This window comes from Homo sapiens, chromosome 8 (assembly GCF_000001405.40).
Source record: "Homo sapiens chromosome 8, GRCh38.p14 Primary Assembly".
Lineage (NCBI taxonomy): Eukaryota > Metazoa > Chordata > Mammalia > Primates > Hominidae > Homo > Homo sapiens.
The window spans coordinates 100,242,590-100,264,226 of NC_000008.11; the positions used below are offsets into that span (position 1 = coordinate 100,242,590).

The 21,637-nt window shown below is 38.0% G+C and overlaps 1 protein-coding gene across 17 annotated transcripts in view, besides 2 other annotated features; it reads right to left on the reverse strand.

Annotated features, from left to right (window-relative positions):
* The window catches only part of RNF19A (ring finger protein 19A, RBR E3 ubiquitin protein ligase), a 79,138-nt gene continuing 71,978 nt past the window's right edge, over positions 14,478-21,637 (reverse strand). For 15 of the 17 annotated variants that reach the window (NM_001280539.2, XM_047421671.1, XM_047421673.1 and 12 more), the window contains 4 exons: positions 21,445-21,606; positions 18,953-19,166; positions 17,265-17,408; positions 14,478-16,657 (listed from right to left, as the gene is read on the reverse strand). In NM_001280539.2, the coding sequence (NP_001267468.1) occupies positions 15,967-16,657; positions 17,265-17,408; positions 18,953-19,166; positions 21,445-21,606 (1,211 nt within the window). In that variant the 3' untranslated portion in view covers positions 14,478-15,966. Of the gene's footprint in view, positions 16,658-17,264; positions 17,409-18,952; positions 19,167-21,444; positions 21,607-21,637 lie in introns of those variants that run through there. The other 2 variants (XM_047421675.1, XM_047421676.1) reach the window with 2 other exon arrangements.
* Positions 16,043-16,142: an enhancer, noted in NCBI's record as "active region_27687". NCBI's record gives its function as "activates an Ori minimal core promoter by ATAC-STARR-seq in GM12878 lymphoblastoid cells {active_cell/tissue: GM12878}" and the evidence as "EXISTENCE:reporter gene assay evidence [ECO:0000049][PMID:35858748]".
* Positions 16,533-16,582: an enhancer, noted in NCBI's record as "active region_27688". NCBI's record gives its function as "activates an Ori minimal core promoter by ATAC-STARR-seq in GM12878 lymphoblastoid cells {active_cell/tissue: GM12878}" and the evidence as "EXISTENCE:reporter gene assay evidence [ECO:0000049][PMID:35858748]".

The window sequence follows — 21,637 nt, forward strand, 5'->3', positions numbered from 1 at the left end:
TGGACTAATGGTTCAGGTGCCTATTCCTTAACAGTCACAGATGAGTAAAAGATTAGTGAATGTAAATTGGCAATTTTGGTATTTATAGTGAAAACACAGAGCAAGAGGAATGCCCAGGCCTGCCTGAGAGAGGGTTAGGAAAGGTTTCTCATGGGGCACAGTTCTGCCACAGCTTGAGTATGTCATAGGCAGAGGAAACGAGATGCAAGGGCATCAACGTGCATATTGAAGGTGCAGGTTGAATGAAAGTGTGAAGTCACTTGGCATGTTCAGAGAACTGCGTGAATCTTAATATTACTGGAACATGTGGCTTAAGAGATAGCTGGATAGAACAGAAAATTGCATGCTGCATATAAAATGGCAGAAAATATCAGAATTTTAATTATACTCTGGCATTACTCTTAACTAAGACCTGGTTTTCTTCCCCTTCTGGGCATACACAAGATTGTACTTTTCAGCCTCTTTGTGATTGGTCGGGGCCACGTGACCACTTCTGCCAGTAGGGTTTAGGTAAAAGTGATGTGTCACTTCTGAGCCAAAGTATGCAAGATCTGGCCCCAAACCCTCCCTGATCGTTTCCGTTGCTACAGTGACAAGGCTTCATGTTGCAGTCAGTGCAGTTAAAAGATGACTGGCTCTGTCAGCCTCGTTCTTTGAATGCTGGTTTGAAGCAGGGTTCTGCCAGTCCACATTGGACACAGAATGAACAAGCTTATGCTTTTTTTGTTAAGCCACTGAGATTTTTATTATTTGTAACTATATCCAAACACTTAACCTCTCAGTCTGCTTCTGTATCTCTTCTTTCTTCAGCCTTTAAATCTTTCCTGAGCTTTGACCTGTAAAGCCAACTTCAAACTGTTCACCTCTACACAGATGTCTTACAGATACTGTAACTATACATGCCCTAAATGGAACTCGCTGTTCCCTGAAACTCAGGCTTCACTTATCCCATAGTTCCACAAAAGGTACCAGCATTCACACACTGGCCTAAGAAACCTGGGCTTCTAAACTTTCCTTGCTCTCAGTCCTCACATCTAATATTTCATCCTGGCAGACACTTCATTACACGAACATGGCACACTCACCCAAGACTAACTGCGTTTGCGCAGGATGTCTTACCACATTGTTTTGGTGTTTTTGAGTTTACTTGTCTGATACAAAATATCTGGTTCAGTTCTGTTTCCCATAGTGCTCAGCAAAATGCCTGGCATAATAGATTCAGTAAGTTATTCACTGAATGAATGATGTCTTAGTAATTGTATAATTATATTTGTGGGTACATGTATTACCTAAAGTATTTTAGTGGAATGTCAGCACTTGTTATATCTAATTGGTTTGCTGTAAATTGTGCATCTGGAAGGAGAGAAGTCTCAAAAGTAATTCTATACAGAGTGTGGGTTATTTAATCATCAGAGCTTAACTCATGCCTTAGGGACCTTATGAACAAAGTTTCTAGACAAAAACATCAAAGACAAAATGTTAGAAAAGGAAAGGAAAGAAACTAAAAGCCCTTGAATTAAAACTGTGTGACAATTATTTACTAGATGTAAAAACATCCAAGCAAATCACAGTCACTCTGGGCTTAAATTTGCTTATTTTTAAATGTTAAGTAAATATCATCTGGAATGACAGATTTGTTGCAAAATAACATGAAAATACTTCCTAAATTGCACAGTATATAAGAGACTAATGTCATTACTATTTCTGGCTTGTGGGTAATATGAAAGTTCCCTGTGTGCAGATCTTGAATGCAGGATTCCACACCTCCCATGTCCAGCCTCTTAATATCTGGCCCCTGGAGTTTTTACCACATGCTCCCATGGTCACCCTCAGCCTCCTGATCTTAACTGAAGTAACGGACCATCCCATAGGACTGCTCCAATCAGCTTCCCCTCCTCTTGACTCATCACCAGATCCCCTGCCTCCAACTGTTCTCTCCCTGAAAGTAGTCTTACTCCTCTTTTCTAATGCTGACCCCTGATCTTATTCCTCCCTTTTCTTCTAGGACTTTCCTCTGAGAATAATACCTTCTCTTTCATGTCTGCAATATCTCCCTTTTCATCGCTGCCATCCTGTCAGCCTATAAACCTACGCAGCTATTCTTCACCTAAAGAAAAGTCTCAACCTTTCATCTTTCCCTATACCATTGCTTTCAAAACTGGATAACTTTCTGTTTACAAGACAAAATGAAAAAATCATTCTCCATTTTCCCCACCTCTCACTGATTCCTTTTTTGAAGGAATTTTGGCTTCTGCCTCCCATCACTATTGAATTTAAACTCCTCTCAACAACCTTGATCAAACCCAGCAGCCTTTTTTTTTTTTTTTTTTAAGACGGAGTCTCGTGCTTTGGCCCAGGCTGGAGTGCGGTGGCGCGATCTTGGCTCACTGCAAGCTCCGCCTCCCAGGTTCACGCCATTCTCCTGCCTGAGGAGAATACTCCCGAGTAGCTGGGACTACAGGCACCTGCCACCACCCGGCTAATTTTTTGTATTTTTTAGTAGTGACAGGGTTTCACCATGTTAGCCAAGATGGTCTCGATCTCCTGACCTCGTGATCCACCTGCCTCGGCCTCCCAAAGTGCTGGGATTACAGGCGTGAGCCACCGTGCCCGACCCCAGCAGCCTTTTCTTAGTCATAGAATTGCGTCGCATTGTAGCCTGGAGAGAATTGTTATAGGTCATCTCATCTAAATCCTTTCACTTATATTGAAGCCCAAATAAGAACACACCTAAGGATATTGTGTATTGTGAAACGCCGAGAAACTGTGGCTGGTTTGGCCCTTTTGCTATCTGGGATTTGAGGGAAAAGGTGAAATTTGGAAGGCAAAGAAAGCAAACCTTAAGGACAGCTATGATACTGAGTCTAGACAGGCTATTATATTTCTTTTTTTTCTTTTTTTTTTTTTTTGAGACGGAGTCTCGCTCCGTCACCCATGCTGGAGTGCAGTGGCACTATCTCGGCTCACTGCAAACTCCGCCTCCCGGGTTCTCGCCATTCTCCTGCCTCAGCCTCCCGCCTGGGTAGCTGGGACTACAGGCGCCCGCCACTACACCCGGCTAGTTTTTTGTATTTTTAGTAGAGACGGGGTTTCACCGTGTTAGCCAGGATGGTCTCGATCTCCTGACCTCGTAATCCACCCGCCTCGGCCTCCCAAAGTGCTGGGATTACAGGCGTGAGCCACCGCACCCAGCGCTATTATATTTCTTAATTGCTCAGACTGAGCCATAATCTAATCTAGGCAAATTCAGAGAGTGCCTCCTTCATGAGCAAGATCTTAAAATGAAAAGGCCTCTACAAGTCGAGACTGCAAAGTGATGGATATATTGAGAATTTGATATTTGTCAGGAAAGCTTCAAAGACATGGAGCTTCTAAGCTTAATCTTTTCATTTCCACTTCTTATGCATCTTAGTGAAAACTCCCTTTATCCTACCAAGTGGTGGTGCCTATTAGTAGTATACTGTTCGCTAGAGGCCTCCCAGGAAGTAGTTCAGAAGGCTTGATTTCTATGTTATGTGCAGAGATGAAGCATGAGTTATGGCACAGCATGTTGTTAAAGTGATTTCAAATATATTTTCTTATAGTTACTTTCCTAACACATGGGTTTTGCTCTCTAGGAAGAGAATGGAGCAAAGTGTGTAGCTGGAATTTGTTTTACTTTCCTATTAGCCTGTAGGTACCACTCAGACCAAAAGGACTCCCTAAAAACTGATGTGCAAGTCACAGAATTCTCCTGCCTGACCTCTATCAAGGGATGTCTGTAAGGAGAAATCTATCTCTAAAGTACTATGAATTTTGTCACGTTTATAGGTTTTTTGCTTGTTTTTAGAGACAGGGTCTCAGCTCTGTTGCCCAGGTTGGAGTGCAGTGACATAATCATGGCTCACTGCAGCCTCAACCTCCTGGACTCAAGCAGTCCTTCTGCCTCATCCTCCTGAATAGCTGGGTCTACGGGCATACACCACCATGCCCGGCTATTTTTTTTTTTTTTAAAGTAGAAACAGGGTCTCATTATGTTACCCAGGTTGGTCTCAAACTCCTGGCCTCAAGCGATCCTCCTGCTTCAGCCTCCCCAAGTGCTGGGATTACAGGCATGAGCCACCGCACCCAGCCGAGTTTATAGGTTTTGATGCCTTTTGCCAAAAATCAAAGAGGTGGCTGAAAGTCAATTGATATCAGAAGAATCAATGAAAAGCAAGAGACTCAGCAGCTCTCCTTTTCCTCTGGGAAACTGCTTAAGAGCACAGAATTTGGCATCAGATACACCTGCAATCAAATCCCAGCTCTACTTAGGAGCTGTATAACCTTGCAGTCTTTGGGTTCCTCGTCTGCAAAATGGAGTATCTTCCTACCATTTGGGGTTGCTGGTTTATGTGGTTCATGTAAAATGCCTTTTATTTGATAAGCACCTTATCTTTCCTTCCATGTGTATAACTGCTTTCTTCTTTTAAGTATAATATCATCTATGTGTTAGAAAAATGTAAGAAACCTCTTTTCAAATAGTGTGGACACCTTAATAGTTATTTACTGGAGCAGAGGCACACATTAAGATCCCTCCAATAGAAGTATTAATATAGACAGAAGCAGCTAGTCTTGGACCTCTGGTGTCATCTCCTGGAAATTAGTCATGGTACAACAGCCAAGAGGTTACCCCACAACTTGAGCTACAGAGAATGTTTGCAATAGCATCTTTATTTTCCAATCTGTCATTGTTTTGAGAATGAACCAATATGCAAACAGTTGTACGTCCAGAGTCTGGTATAGGCTAATGGATGCTTAGTAAAGTTTGCTGAATGAATGAATCCAGAGGACATTGCCCCATTGGTGTTCTTGTCTCCAGAGTTCAGATTAGGAAGTTCCTATTACAGAAATGTTTACAATGACACTCTAAATATTTCTCAAACAGTTGTTCTTGAAATGTTTGCACAGAGTCACTTGAGAATCTTACAGTCTAGGGGGTTGGAAATCTAAAAATCTCTCATGATGCTTAGGGAAGTTAGAATTTATGATCTACAGCATAGAAGCTGAGGATGCAATAATTAACATCTGAATTGCATAAGCATTGCCAGTGAATGACACTATTTATGATGCTCTTAGTAAGTATTGTGGGGGATAAACTTTTTAAAAGATAGCCCCTGCTTTTAATGAGCTCATACTTCATTTGCAAAAAAAACTGTCAATAACACCAAGTGCAAGAGACTCTCCTAGGAGAAAACAGCATCAATGAAATGTTCAAGTGTTAAAGGTATTAAAAGGGCCAAATAGGTTACTCAAGAACATTTCAGGAAGAGGTAAAACCTAAGCCATGTTTTGAAATAGACTCAGGTCAATGAGAAGGGAGAGCTCAGTGTGACTGGATTACTTTACTGTAGAATTTCCAGTACCACATTGCAGGAGGAAGGAACTTGGTAAGAAAAATTCTGCCACTGCAGGTATGCTTCACAGTGCAGGAAAGAGCAGACAGGAGACTTACGAAGCAACCTGAATTAATATTCTGTTTTTAATAGTGACCCAAGTTCGAAAATAGCCTAAAATTTAATCTTACTACCTGCCGTTAGATCTCTTTTGTATCAGTTTCCCATCTGTAAAATAGGACCAATTTATTTTTATTTTTAAAAAGGAGGTCAGAGTGTCCCTTTTGTATCAGCTGTTTTTTGTTCTTTTTTGTTGTGTTTGAGATGCAGTCCTGCTCTGTCACCCAGGCTGAAGTGCAGTGGCACGATCTCGGCTCACTGGAACCTCTGCCTCCCAGGTTAAAATAATTCTCCTGCCTCAGCCTCCCAAGTGTCTGGGATTACAGGTGTGCACCACTTCGCCCAGCTAATTTTTATATTTTTAGTAGAGATGGAGTTTCATCATGTTGCACAGGCTGGTCTTGAACTCCTGACCTCAAGTGATCCATCTGCCTCAGCCTCCCAAACTGCTGTGCTGGAATTACAGGCATGAGCCACTGCGCCCGGCAAAATAAGGCCAATTATTTTCTGTAATTAAGCAGCGGATTGGGATGACTATTTCAATAAACATAACTTTGATCCTAATTCATACTTGTGCTAAAACAAGGGCAAAGATTTTGTTAGGGTGGCTACAATAAAAAAAAAAAGGTGGACAATAACAAGTATTGGTGAGGATGTGGAGAAATTAAAAACTGCATACATTGCTGATGGGAATGTAAAATGGTGCAGCTGCTTTGGAAAAGTTTGGCAGTCCCTCAAAAACTTAAACAGAGTTGCCATTTTGATCCAATAATTCTGCAACCCCTATTACTGAAAGTAGAAAACATATGTTCACACAAAAACTTGTACACAAATGTTCACAGCAGTTCTACTCATAATAGCCAAAAAGTGGAAGCCACCCAAATGTCCATCAACTAACTAATGAATAGATTTTTTTTAATAAGGACAGAGTTTCGCCATGCTGGCCAGGCTGATCTTGAATTCCTGACAGATGATCTGCCTGCCTCGGCCTCCCAAAGTGCTGGGATTACAGGCGTGAGCCACCACACCTGGCCTCTATAGGCTTTTCTGTATAGGCTTTCTATAGGCTGAGGCAGGAGAACTGCTTGAACCCGGGAGGCGGAAGTTGCAGTGATCTGAGATCAAGCCACTGCACTCCAGCCTGGGCGACAGAGCAAGGCTCCGACTTAAAAAAAAAAAAAAAAAAGTCTATAGAATCTACAAAAAAACTACTAAAATTAATATGATTTACAAGGTCATAGGATTCAAGATCAATATACAAAAATCTATTGTATTTCTATATACTAGTAATGAATGTAATCATAAATTGATCTCTTTAAGAGATCTGTACACTGAAAACTACAAAGCATTTCTGAATATTATTCAGCCATAAAAAAGAATGAGGTAGTGATACATGCTATCCCTTGGATGAACTTTGAAAGTAGTAAGTGAAAGAAGTGGGACACAAAAGGCCACATTTTATTATTCCATTTATGTGAAATGTCTGGAATGGACAAAGCCATAGAGAGAGTAAATTAGTAGATGCCAGGGACTGAGAGGAAGGGGAAGTGGGAACTGACTACTAATGGGTAAAGGGTTCTTTCTGGGGTGATGAAAATGTTCTGGAGTCAGATATTAGTAACAGTTGTACGACCTTGTAAAAACACTGAATCGTACACTTTAAAATGTGAATTATGCGAACTGCATCTCAATTGTGAAAAATGAAGTGGGGTGGGGGGAAGCAAATCACCCAAGGTAGTGAATAACTTAGAGGCAAACTCTGGGGTTTTCCAATCAATCCTGATAAGGCCACCTACTTGAGTTTTTCAAGAACCTGCCAGGAGGAATAAAAACTGAGGAAGACTGAAAGACTACCTCCACCCCATGACTGGAAACAAAGTAAAGATGTCCTCTTACCCTTCCTATTTAACATTGTACTGGAGGTTGAAACCAGTGCAATAAGGGGTTAAAATGTTATAAAAGGCATCCAGATTGGAAAAGAAGAAGTAACCTTTCTTTATTTGCAGACACAATTATCTATGTAGAAAAGCCAATAGAGGCTGGGTACGGTGGCTCAAACCTGTAATCCCAGCACTTTGGGTGGCCGAGGCAGGCGGATCATCTGAGGTCAGGAATTCAAGATCAGCCTGGCCAACATGGTGAAACTCTGTCTTTATTTAAAAAGAAAACAAACAAACAAAAAAACCCCACAAAAATCAGCTAGGTGTGGTGGTGCACACCTGTAATCCTAGCTACTCTGGAGGCTAAGGCAGGAGAACTGCTTGAACCCAGGAGGCGGAAGTTGCAGTGATCTGAGATCAAGCCACTGCACTGCAGCCTGGGCGACAGAGCGAGGCTCCGACTTAAAAAAGAAAAAAAAGTCTATAGAATCTACAAAAAAACTACTAAAATTAATGTGATTTACAAGGTCGTAGGATTCAAGATCAATATACAAAAATCTAATTTCTATATACTCGTAATGAATGTAATCATAAATTGATATTTTTAAGAGATCTGTACACTGAAAACTACAAAGCATTGTTGAAATTAAAAAACTAAAAGATAGATATACTGTATTCATGAATAGGAAGACTTGATATTGTTAAGATGCCAGTTTTCCTCATATTGATAAATAGGTATCAGTGGTGATTCAGTCAAAATCCCAGCAGACTTTTTGGTAGAAATCTAGAAATGGATTCTAGTGTAAACACAGTATTCAAATCACTGGGAAATTTGGAAAGATTATTTTAAAAATAGTGCCATCACAAATGGCTTTCTATCTGGAAGAAAGTAAAACTGGACCTTTATATTACACTAAATGCTAAGATAAATTGAAGATAGATTTTATAAAATATGAAAAATTTAAAATCTCACTACAAACTACCAAAAGAGACTACAAGTACAATTTAGAAAGAGAGGAGAGCTTAATCATGACCAGAAGGTCTAAAATATTACAATTAAAGACACACAACAGGTTTCATATTGCAGAAAAAAAATGTAAAGAGTATGTGGAAATGCTGAAATATCTGCAACTTTTCTGTAAATCTAAAAATATTCAAAAATTAAAAGTTTACTTAAGGATAAAATAGAATGCACACACAATGCTAATAAAAGTCGAATGACATATTTGGAGAAAAATACAAGAGTCAAACTATTAACAGCTATAGTATAAAAAATATATTTATTTTCATTTTTTTAAATTTATTTTTCTGAGACAGAGTCTTGCTCTGTTGCCCAGGCTGGAGTGCAGTGGCGTGATCTCAGCTCACTGTAACCTCTGCCTCCCGGGTTCAAGCTATTCTCCTGCCTCAGCCTCTCAAGTAGCTGGGATTATAGGTGTGAGCCACCGCACCCGGCCCTATTTTCATTTTTATTTATTAACAGAGATGGGGTTTTGCTATGTTGCCCAGGCTAGTCTTGAACTCCTGGCCTCAAGCAATCCTCCTGCCTCAGCCTCCCAAAGTGAGCCACTACACCTGGCCAAAATACCTTTCAAACTGACAAGAAAACAATAAAAAAAAAAAAATAGGCAAAGGATATAAGAGCCAATTTAGAGAACACCAAACTCAAATACCATCTTCCAGCCCCTAGGCCAAAAAAAAAAAACAAAAAAAAACAAAAAAAAAAACACAAAAAGATGTACACATTTACTAGCCAGGAAAATGTAACATTAGATAATAGATAATACTTTACACCAAACAGTTTAAAAGTTTGTAAAGCTCTAATACCTATTGTTAGTAGAATGCAGGGAAAAGGGAACTCATGTATTGTTAGCAAATTGTAAATTGTGACAGCCTTTTTTGGGAGACAATCTGGTAAACCTTTTAAAAATTCAATAGACATGGACTTTAACCTAGCCATTTGATTTCCTTGAATTTATCTCCCATACTTAGAAGTACCAGAATATAAGGACGTAATTATTAGAATTTTTTTGCAGTGTTTTGTATTGAGGAAAGAAACAACAAATAACAAAGTGAATGCTCATCAATATGAGAATGTCTGAATAACTGCAGCACATCTATACTACAGAATTCTTATGCAGCCATTAAAAAGAATGCGTTGGAGTTATACAGTTGACTTGGACAGATTTCCCAAAGATATTACTGAGAAAAAATCAAGAAAATTAATGTATATATGCATTGTGTGTGACTATGAACATGGAGAAAACTGGCATCACACACATTTTGTCATTTGCACTGGTTATGGGGGAAGATAATGAGGGAAGGAGGCAGAGAAGAGAAGGGGAGAACAAAACACAAAAAGAAGGCAAGGAAAAAAGGATGGGGAAATAATTTGTGCACATTTTAATTAAGCTTTCAATAGAAAGTCTCTAGAACATCAGTTCATGATACCTCTAAGGCAACTGTGATTTCCTTATCTAGTTGAAAGTATTACATTTTCTTTAAACAAGCAAAAAAGCAACAAAAAGCCCCCAAAAGCAAAATTAAAATGCCTTGGCTATATTAACCCTGAAAATTAGGTCCAATGGCTGTCATACATGATAGAATATTTGTAAACTAATGTATTTGGTATAAAACCTTGTTAAAAGTTAACTGTCTTTTCAGCCACTGTATTGCTTCAAACAACTTATTTTACTGTACAATATTATGAAGTGACTGGTTATCAACTCTGAATTGAGTCCAGAAACATCCTCATTCCCTTTGCTCAGTTGTTCTTCTGTCCCATCAGAATTTCCTCTTCATATATATAAATACTATAAGTATAGGAAAAATAAAAGGAAAGACAAGGTCCCTGCCCTCATGAGACTAGAGTTCCTTTAAGATTTGTTCTCCTAATATCTTGAATACAGAATTAAGAATCTGGAGGTATTAATACCTGGAACACATGGTGTTATGTATGTCTATATTTTACCTCCATGCAGGACAAAAAGTGACAGAAATATGTGATCCAACGCTATTTAGGCAAAAGGCTGGAAAGAAAAAAAAAAAAAAAAGCAAAAGCAAGACTATCTTGTCACCAGCCAGCCCACACATTCTAGAATTAGTCAACTCTTATAGAGCAAAGAGACTGCCTTATCTTACTGCTCATATAGATGAAAATGAGCTGCTTACTAACCCTGAAAACCTGGCTCTCTCTTGTACTAAAAAACAATTCAAGTGCAGACAGCCTTAATAGCAATTTCTACCAAACATTCAAGGAAGACATCATTCCAATCTTACATACTCTGATCACTGAAGTTTGCCCCAGGTTAACATTTGAAGAATCAAATTCACTACATTAACATGTTAATCACAATTATATGGCAGATGCTCCCCCCACCAAATAAGCAGCCAATAAAATTCAACGTATTTTCAAAGGTAAAAACTCTTGGCAAACTAGGAGTTAGAAGATAATTTACAAAATTCAATAAAGGATATCCTATAAATATATCTGTGGCAAATAATAGCTGAAATGATGAAAGGTTTCCCTTTGAGGTTATCAACAAATCAACAATGCCCCCTATAACCACCGCTATTCAGAAGTATACACTAGAAGTCCCAGCCAGTGCAAAAGGCCAGAAAAATAAATAAATGATGCAATGATCTAAGAGAAAAAAACCAAAACAATGGGAATCCCACCTCTACCACTTAGCAGCTGTGCAACTCCAGGCAAATTACTTAATATCTCTGTGCCTCAGTTACCCCCATCTGTAATGAAGATAGTAATACCTCCTTCACAGAGTTGTTCTGAGGAATAAGTATTTTATTTTGAACCAACTCTAATGATAATTAAGACTTTAGTATATAATTTGATATACAATTACCTTTTGCATCTTTCTAAATTATATGACCCCTATTCACTGTTCAAGGTAAACCTAATATTACTTTTTAATTTAACTTTAAAGTTCAGGGGTACATGTGCAGGTTTGTTATATAAGTAAACTTGATAAGTTATATTTTTCTTTTATTGTTTGCTTTTCCATAAGTTACTATTTTAAAAGTGCTCGGAAAGTATTTCACACTTCAAAGCACTGTAAAAGTGTTTAATACAAACATTCACAAGTGATAATTGTACAGTGATATCCCAAAGAATCTGGAGATAAACCATTGGAATTAAAAGAGTAAGATTCACCAGATACAAAATTGTTAATACAAAATCAATGGCATTTCTCTATACTATTAGTTACAAACAGAAAATGAGGCTGGGCGTGGTGACTTATGCCTGTAATCCCAGCACTTTGGGAGGCCGAAGCAGGTGGATCACTGGAGGTCAGGAGTTTGAGACCAGCCTGGCTAACATAACGAAACCCCTTCTCTACTAAAAATACAAGAAATTAGCTGGGCGTGGTGGTGGGACACCTGTAATCCCAGCTACTCAGGAGGCTGAGGCAGGAGAAACACTTGAACCCAGGAGGCAGAGGTTGCAGTGAGCTGAGATCGCACCACTGCACTCCAGTCTGGGCAACAAGAATGAAACTCTTTCTCAAAAAGAAAGAAAGAAAATGACATTTTAAAAATATACATTATAGGATAAAAAATATCAAGTACCTGGGAATGAAATTTAACAAAAGATGTAAAAGAATTCTATGGGGATAATTATAGATTCAATGTAATCCCAATCAAAATTAGTGAAACACAACAAGGTTATTCTAATATGTTTATGGAAATATAAAGTGCCAAGGACAGTCAAGACACCATCCAAGGAAAAAACAGTGGCAGACTTGCCCTATTAGATAGCAAATTCAGATTCCAAGACTGATGTCTAAATTGTCCACTAACTCACCTTGGAGATGTTTCTGAAAATGCTCATTCACCAGGTATGTTTTTACATGGTTCCTTCATTTCCTTTAGATCTTGGGACAAATGTCTTCTAGAGACTTTTCCTGTTCTGCCCTGTATAAAACAGTACTGCTTCCCCAAAATCCCAGTCACTCTTATTGTGCCCACCTCTAATTTTTCATAGCAATCATCATCTGGTTATTTTACATCTCGTTCCATTATTTTAAGCTACATGCATATGTTTATTATTTTTGTATCCTCCAAATTCTAATACAAGCCCTCTGAAGCCAGGGTGTTTGTTTATTTGGTACTATGCTGTATTTCCAGCATCTACTTTGTTGAACGAATAAATTGGTAGAAGTCACAAAAATTCTGACTAGCATATGATGTACAGTGATCCAATCTGAACTAAATTTTAAAACTGCAAACTTTTTCATATCCAGCTATTAAATAATAGCCACCCTAAATAACATAACTCTCCCCAAGTTTAGAATACTATTTTTGGCATTCAAAAATCAACCAGTATGTAAACACTGGCTGTTAAGCAATGATATCTCATGCTCTAGTGAAGGAAATAAATGAAACAACAAATCCATTAAAAGGAACCATATGAAATGCAGCCTTGAGAAAAGAATTTTTTTCCTTAGATCCAAGTACAGACTAGAATCTGTAAGAAGCGTGATGACTGTGAATGGAAAGGCAAAACAATCTATGGAGCAGGAGTTTCTTTTGCTCATGTCATGTAGCAATTAATAGCTCCGATAGTTTTCAACACATACTTTATCCTTTGGTGATTTGTCTATATGTTTACCTAAATAACAGGCTAGGGAAAGTCTTACATGTTTACAAATTAACACAATTTCCAGGAAAAATAAGTTAGGAGTGGTGGATTATGTGCATTTAATATAAAAAGCTAACTAATTAAGTGCTCTGAAGCTGGGAATTTGTACAATGAAGTGAATCTACCAGTTAAATTGGTGGTCTACATAATCAACAGTAGGATATACTATTATAATCTTTGTATTTCTTTTCTCTCATTACCAGATGATTTTTCCAACAGGCTTTAAAGTACAAAGAGTTTTAACAAGATTTCAGTGAGTTAAGGTTTATTTTGAATACCCTGGAGGTATCTCTTGTTCAAGGCTAGCCCAGAGTTGAGTTCCAGGGAAAACTGGCTTGGTCCTAAATTAATCCAACTTTGAAGGATACAGGAGACAAGGAATTTCTGAAGCTAGTTGAAAGGTCCAGGAGACAAGGAATTTTTGAAGCTAGTTTTAAGGTGAGACTGAAGTGGTACTGGTTGGGAGTATCACCAGAAGTAGGTGTAGGGTGAATGAATGCACCAGCCTCCTATAGGGCACTATTTTTGCTGTATTCCTCTGAAGATCATTTAGCTTTCCATTTCATCTTTAGCCTTTTAAAGAAATGTCAACAAGGCAGTCAACATATTCATAAGATTATTTTGGCCGAGCATGGTGGTTCACGCCAGTAATCCCAGGACTTTGGGAGGCCGAGGTGGGTGGATCACTTGAGCTCAGGAGTTTGTGACCACCCTGGGCAACATGGCGAAACCTCGTCTCTACTAAAACACACAAAAAAATTAGCCGGGCGTGGTGATGTTTGCCTGTAATCCCAGCTACTTGGGAGGCTGAGGCACGAGAACTGCTTGAGCCCAGGAGGCGGAGGTTGCAGTGAGCTGAGATCGCACCACTGCACTCGAGGCTTGGGCTACAAAGTGAGACTCCATCTCAAAAAAAAAAAAAGATTATTTTCATGAAGCATTAACTATATACCAGGGAAACAGAAAAACCATCTATGCATTTTACAGAAGCTACAAGAATAGAAAGCATCTGATTACAATTAGCTTGAATTTAAATGGCTCATTTCATAATCTAATGTTGCTAGAATAGAATCTCTTAAAATAGTCTTTTAAGATCTTTTTACTTTTTTCCCCTTTTCCCAAGTTAGCTGATCTTTCCACTTTTCTGAGGATTTATAATACTGATTTCTCTTCACAATTTAATGATACATATATTTACTCAAGTTAAATTCAACCAATTTACTCAAAAAAATTATGTTGATGTATACAGTATCTTTTTTTCTGGTGGAAAGGCAGGAATTAGACAGGAAAAAAGGGTAGTTTCTAACACTGTTGAAAAGTTCAGCAAATGCTTCCCCTTGAGCTGAGACCAGAAGGCAGAATAATCACAATGGCTTGCAATATTTATGAATACTACCACATGGCCAATGAATATTCTCATTCTTATTAAAAAAAAACACTTGTGTACACACCAGAAGGCAGCAGTACATTAGTATTTACATTTATTTAACGTATGCAGTTTACACACTCATTATTAAACAAAATTGGAATGCAAACAAATATACAAATACCATAAGCATTATCAAATAAAATAACTGGCACTAGTGTTATAAGCATATTAATGGACCTGGTAGGGAAAAGTGATGGAAGAAGACTGCAGCCCATGGCATTTTTCTTTTTACCAAAAGAAAACGCTCAGTAGCACCATAATGGTAATACTTAAAAGAAATACATAAGATAGAACATTTTAACTGCTATCATTGAGGTTAACCTGCTTTTATTTAAGTGAATTATACAGGAAATTAACAGTACAGGCAGTATTTTGGCCAACTTCTGCTTATGTCAGCTGAACATTGTCCATAAACAAAAGCAAAAGAAAATAATGCTAATCATACATGGACCTTTTGTACTTGGTACAAGTTCTGCACCGTGCTTTGATTTCATGGTTGGAGAAGATATGCATGTGTTAAAAACTGAGGTTATGTAAAGTTATTCACTAAAGCCTGAGTGTGTCTTTGGTAGGCTAATACTTTTTCAGCATTATTAATCACATTCATGTTTATCTATTTCCTGTATTTTTATATATAATCCAAGGTGACCAGAGAAGACATGGAAAACAACACAGCAAAATCCTCAAATAACTAGGCCATTAAAACCCAGTCGATCCCAAAGGCACCAAGAATCAATGGGGTACAAACTTCCCCTTAGAGAAAGGTGGATTTTTTGTAATACTTATAACCTAATGGGACTTTATTTTGTAGTTTTATGTATCTTATTTGTTGCTGTCATATGCTTAATTACTTACCTTTACATTTTTTCCTCTAAGATGGCATCAACAATAAACAAGATAGAGTACCAGGTATTTCTATTTCAAAGTTGTGCAAAAACTGCCACAATCTTGCTCAAAGTGTCTAAGTATCCAAATGGTAGCAAATGAGCTGCATTAAGCTTTATATAACCACATTGCATATGAAGAAAAAAAATGAAATTTATGCCGATATAAATAGAAATGTTACAGAGTATCATATACTGAGAGTAACCTATGCAGTTCTTTTAAACTTATCTCTTTAGTGGTTTCAATAAAATATCACTAACCACTTATCCCTAAAGCCTCAAGTTTTCTTCATTTGAATGCTGTAGAATTGCATTAGTATTTTATATTGATTATATAAATTAAGACCAATTTCTATCTAAGTATGTGCTTCAAGCAATGTTTTGTGGCAAACACACAAAACATGCTTTGCTCTTCAAATTTATTATCCTTAAAATAATGCACTTTTAAAGCCTTCACTTCATAGTTTGGTAACTAAGATCCACATGACACACAATGCCTTGCTGAACACAGAAAATGTATCTGCATTATGATAATGAAACCCGGCTTTTGCTGGTAACCTGAAACTTAAGTAGTCACATGTAGTTCAACCAGCTCCAAACACGGTTGTACAGTGGTAATTATTCTGCAGCATTTATGGGCCTAAATTTCAGTCTGAATTGCAACTTTTAATTCCATTGTCTGATGTGAGTGGTTGTTATTTGTTTCTTTTAGTGCATCGCCAAAATATAAATCAACATTAGGTTTTATTCCATTGTTACCATGTTCTTCAGCAATATGATTCAACTGTGAAACTTCTGAACAGGAAGCAGTTTGGGTAACCACAGAAATGCTACACTGATGTGGGGAATTTTCCAGACGGTCATTTTCTACCTCAGGAAGAATGTTAACAGTAGCAAAGCGGGTGTGATAATCACTGGAACCATGACTACAAGAAGTTTTCATGCTTTCTAGGTCAGAACAACTAAATTCAGAAAAATGACTAGAGTGAGAATCTGCTACAGAAGGCATACTGTCACTGAGGGATGGAGCCTCAAATTCACTTGAGTTCGTGCTTTGTTGTTCTAACAACTGTGCATCCATGTCCTCTCTCGTCTCATTTATCTTCATGTTACCCTTTTTCCTCAGTTTACCACTTTTTGATTTTTTCCCTGCTGTTGCTTCTTTGGACCACTTGGTGGCACTAGATTTACCTTCAGGCAAGCCACTGGATGAACCGCCAGCATGACTTCGGGTGGCACTGCCATCATCCACACTACTGCTTCCACTGTTGTGCCTGAATTTGGATGGCTTTGACTCAATATCTACTTGCACCTCCATACTGTTGCCTTCTCTGAAATATAAGAGTAACAAATACAAACATAATTGCTGACTTCTTTTTGTTCAGATGACTGGGGGAAGGGTTTCTATGTGGAAAATTCAGACTATATATAAGCTATGAGAACACCTTAACGCAGAACACGTTCTACTTAAAAAACATACTTGATATAACAGAACTCTTTATAATGCTTCAATGTTTTAAAATAGTGGTGGACACATTTATTGCTTATGCTGTTCTAGACACTATGCTACCTTTTTTTAAAGAACAGCTTTATTCAGATACAATTCCCCTGTTTAAAGTGTACAATTCAGTGATTTTTAGTTGTGATCAGAGCTGTGCAACCATCACCACTACCTAACTTCAGAACATTTTCATGATCCCAAAAAGGGATCTTGCATCCATTAGCAGTTAGTTACCATTCTTCCCTTTCCCAGCCCTTGACAACCACAAATCCACTTTATGATCTATACAGATTTGCCTACTCTGGACAGCTCACTGTTTCCTTTTCTCAGAGAACTTAATAGTTGGTAGCCACTTTTCACTGGTAATTTGTCTAATGATAGGAATTATTCCTTTAATTTAAAAAATACTTTCAATTTTTTAACAGTTTTTTCCTTACTTGTCCAATGGGATGTAGGAATTCAGAATGGATCCTGCCATTGCTTTGGTGCTGGCATTATCACTAACTGTTCCCAAGCTGACTGTGCCAGATTCTCCACTTAGACTGTACCGTTCTTTCTGTACATCTGCTTGTACTTCCAACCTTAAAGGGGGGTATGAAATCACCAAAATTATATTTAATATCAGCACTACTGTAATATGTATCTTTAAATAATTCAGTTAAGAACCCTAGTAACCAGAAGCTATTTTAGGAACCATTATTTTTTATTTCCTTTTATTTAATTTAAATTCTACTGCAGCACACTGCATAGTACCAGCCATCCAAATAAAATGGGGAACATCAGCTGTCTGCCAAGTAAAGTGGTAATGAAATAACACAAAAAAGACACAAAGGATTTTCACTTAAATGTACTCCATTATTCTCACTCAGCATATGGCACTTTGTAATGTTTCAATGCAAAACACAAAGTTAGAATACATTATTAATCATTAAACATGACACACCAATGAATCCAAAAATCCTGGGCATCTATATTAAAAAATGACTCTATAAATAACACCTGCCTTTTAATACTTTATTTATTTATATATATTTTTAGAGACAGGGTCTCGTTATGTTGCCCAGGCTGGTCTCAAATTCCTGGCCTCAAGCTATCCTCCCAACCTGGCCTCCCAAAGTGCTGGGATTATAGGTATGAGCCACTGAGCCCAACCAACATTTGCCTTTTTAAAAAGAGGTAGTATATACCACTATAACTTAAGAGTTTGTATTTAAAAGGCAAACTACCTAAAAATAAGATGTCTAATTTATCTTTTAATTCATGTATTCTCCCCTACACTTAAAAAAAGCAAGGCTAATAAGCCTAAGTGAAAAATAGTGAATTAAAGAGAAACAGGGGAAGATAATTTTTCCTACTTATCTATATGGCTATTGATAAAAGACTTGGTGAGAACAAAGTAAGCAAGCATTAATACATAAAAGGACCCTAGCCGATTATCCCGGTCCCAGTTCACACATTCCTGGATGTCCTGACTCCACCTGTTTCCCAGGACTCAGCCAAAGTCCCATCTCCTAATATCTGGCTGTTGTTACCCACAGAGGTAAGATCTAGGCTTAAGTACTGCCTTTGCTTCAATGTCTACTGAAGCAGCTGTAGCAACGATTTATAATATAAAATGTGACAAGGACAGTGAAAAAATTGGCAGAATGTTATTCCTTAGACTTAGAAATCTACCACCAAATTTTTCTTTTTTTTTTTGAGACAGGGTCTCACTGTCACTCAGGTTGGAGCTCAGTGGTGTGATCTTGGCTGACTGCAGCCTCCAACTCCCAGGCTCAAGTGATCCTCCTACCTCAGCCTCCCGACCAGCTGGGACTACAGGTGCATGCCACCAAATCCGGCTAATTTTTTATATTTTTTTAGTAGAGATGGGGTTTCGCCATGTTGCCCAGGCTGGTCTCGAACTCCTGAGCTCAGGCAATCCACCTGCTTTGGCTTCCCAACATGCTGGGATTACAGGCGTGAGCCACTGCACCTGGCCCCAAATTTCATTTTTAACATTACTATTTTGAACCTTGACATAGTAGGGTTATATATAATCATCATGCTTTATGTTCAAAATTCTCACCTAATTAATAATTTGTAGTTACCAGAAAGCAGAACCAAACCAAACCAAAACACACACCTGTTAAAACAGTTTACCATGGCACTTCCTGACAGACTCCCCGTTATACTGGCTCCAGCTAGTGCCATGGTGCTGGCCGTTTCACTCAGGTTGTCTCGGATGGCTCCTATTCGATCCATGTGGCTTCCACTTGCACTCAAACTGCCAGTCAGCCCACCAACACTTCCCTCCCCTATGCTTGGGTTGTGTCTTGCTTCTGCTACTGATGTTGTGTCTAAATGCAAATATTCCAAAGAAACTAAGTAAGTATGATTATCAATTTTCTCCTTCTTAAATTCCTCCATGATTTCAGAGAGGACATTATATAAGGTATAAAATATACGCAGACATGGAAAAATATTTTTTTCAGGCTAGTCCACTAGAAGCAGTGGGAATAGAGCCAACAATTTTAAATGGTCACTAGTTTCTTTTTTCAAAAACCCAGATTTAGGAATTCTATAAAGAATATGATTGTTAAAAAATATCGCTGACTTTAGAGGAAAATTATGTGACAGTTTTCATTAAGGGTGTCATTTAAAGAGCTTATTATTCTCTAGGTCAGTAAGAATAGGCTAAAAGTTGATTTCTAGATATATGCCACAGTTCTGTCTACAAGCTATTATTAAGATCTGATAACACTATGTTCCAATTTTACAGTACCTCTCACACATTTTGTATTAAGGAGTCACTTATTTGCACCAATATTTGAGTTCCTATTATATACCCAATCACACGGTGACAAATGCTATGAGGAAAAATACAAGAGAGTAAAGGGGAGGAGAGTGATGAAAAGTGCATGTACGTACATGTCTGTGAGCCATTTTATATGATGTGATGACAGAAGGCCTCTTTGATAAGGTAATACTTGTAGAGACAAATGAAGTAAAACAGTGAGTCATGAAATTTTCTAGGGAAAGAGTATTCCAGACAGAGAACTGCCAGTTTAAAAGCCTAGAAGTAGGATAATGCTTGGCACCCTCAAAAATCAAGCAAGAGTGGTATAAAATAAGAGGGTGACAAGAGATGAGCTCAGAGACATAGTTGGGGCAGATCATGTGGGGCCTTTTGGGCTATGATAAGGACTTTGGATTTTCTTCCCCAGTACAGTTAGAAGCCACTGGGGAAGTTTTGAGCATAAGAAAGTTATAATCTGACAGGGTTTAGACATGTGACTATGGCTGCACTATGGACTAGTGAATAGAAGCTGAGAAGTTGATACAGCAGTTAAGAGGCTATTACAATAGCCCAGGAAAGAGGATGGTAGCTTGGACTAAGGGAAGGACAACGAAGAGAGTAAGAAGTGGCTGGATTATGGCTAAATATTGAAGGAAGCAGCAGAATTTGCTGACAGATCAATCAGATGTAGGACAAGAGGGAAAAGAGGGAGGCATTGTTAAGTGAAGGTTTTTGGCCCAAGCAACAGGAGGAATGGAGAAGCTACTTATTGAGTTAAGGAGGATGAAGGGAAGAAGAGATTTTAGAGCCAAGAATTTGGCTGTAGACAAGTTAAGCTTGAAATTCTTGTTAGACACTCAAGTGCAGATTAAAGAGGAAAGTTACACATGCAAGTTTGAAGTTCAGGGGAGAGGTCGGTCTATGCATTATTTAATAGATGAGATTAGGGGAAAAGTGTAGATACATAAGAATTCTGAGAACTGAGCTCTGGGGAACAAACATTTAGAGGTCAGAAGAGGAAAATGAACCAGCAAAGATTAATGAGACGGACTGGCCAGGAAATATGGTAAGAAGTGGTTTCCCATAAGAAAAGTGAAGTATTTCAAGAAGGGTAGAGTCTCTACCATGTCGGATATACTGTTAAGATGAGGACCAAGACCTGACCACTGTATTAGGTTACGTGGAGGCCACTGGTGACTCTGCTTCAGTGAATAGCAGAAATAAAATTCTGGAGTGGTAGGGACAAAAATCTGATTGAGGCCAGTTCAAGAGAAAATAAGAGGTAAGAAAGTAGGCATTATCTTTACACATCTGCCTAATTATTTCCCTATGACAAATTTCTAAAACAAGAATTGCTAGAATATAGAACATGCACTTTTTAAAAAAGGTTTATTGACATACTCCTATAGGCAGTCTATGAAGGCTTTTTTATTCTTCTTAATCTTTGCTCGTTACTGTTCTAATTCACATTTCTTTGAATAACATTGAGTTGAAGATATTTTTGTATTATTGGTCATCCGTATTTCTTTTATTAACTGTATTCCTCTTCATATCCTTTACTTAGTTATTTATAATGTTTCAGGCAAAATTTAAGATGAAAAGTTTATGATTTCTAAGACATTATATTCCAATTAGAGGTCAGATACCCAGAATTACCCCCACCTCTTTCATCCATACACTCCTCCTTGGCAGTTTATTCACTTATGTACTTCTGAATGAATACTATTAGGCCTAGTAAAAGGATGGCAATGGAAATTCTGAGTTGCATGTTATCTCTGGCCTCCCCACTACTTACACTGTTAATAAGCACATTTTCTTCCTTTGCTTAAAGGACTTACCTACAGCTGTGTTAGTTCCACCAACATTTATATCATTTTCATCATCAAATTCAATCCTAACTCCTTTTCCATTGCCTGCTGAGACTCCACAACCTCCGCTTCGACAAAGAGAAATTGGAACTACGCCATAGACATAAGCTAACATAATAGGAACACCGATACCTAAAGAGAAATTAAATCAGTCATTACAAAC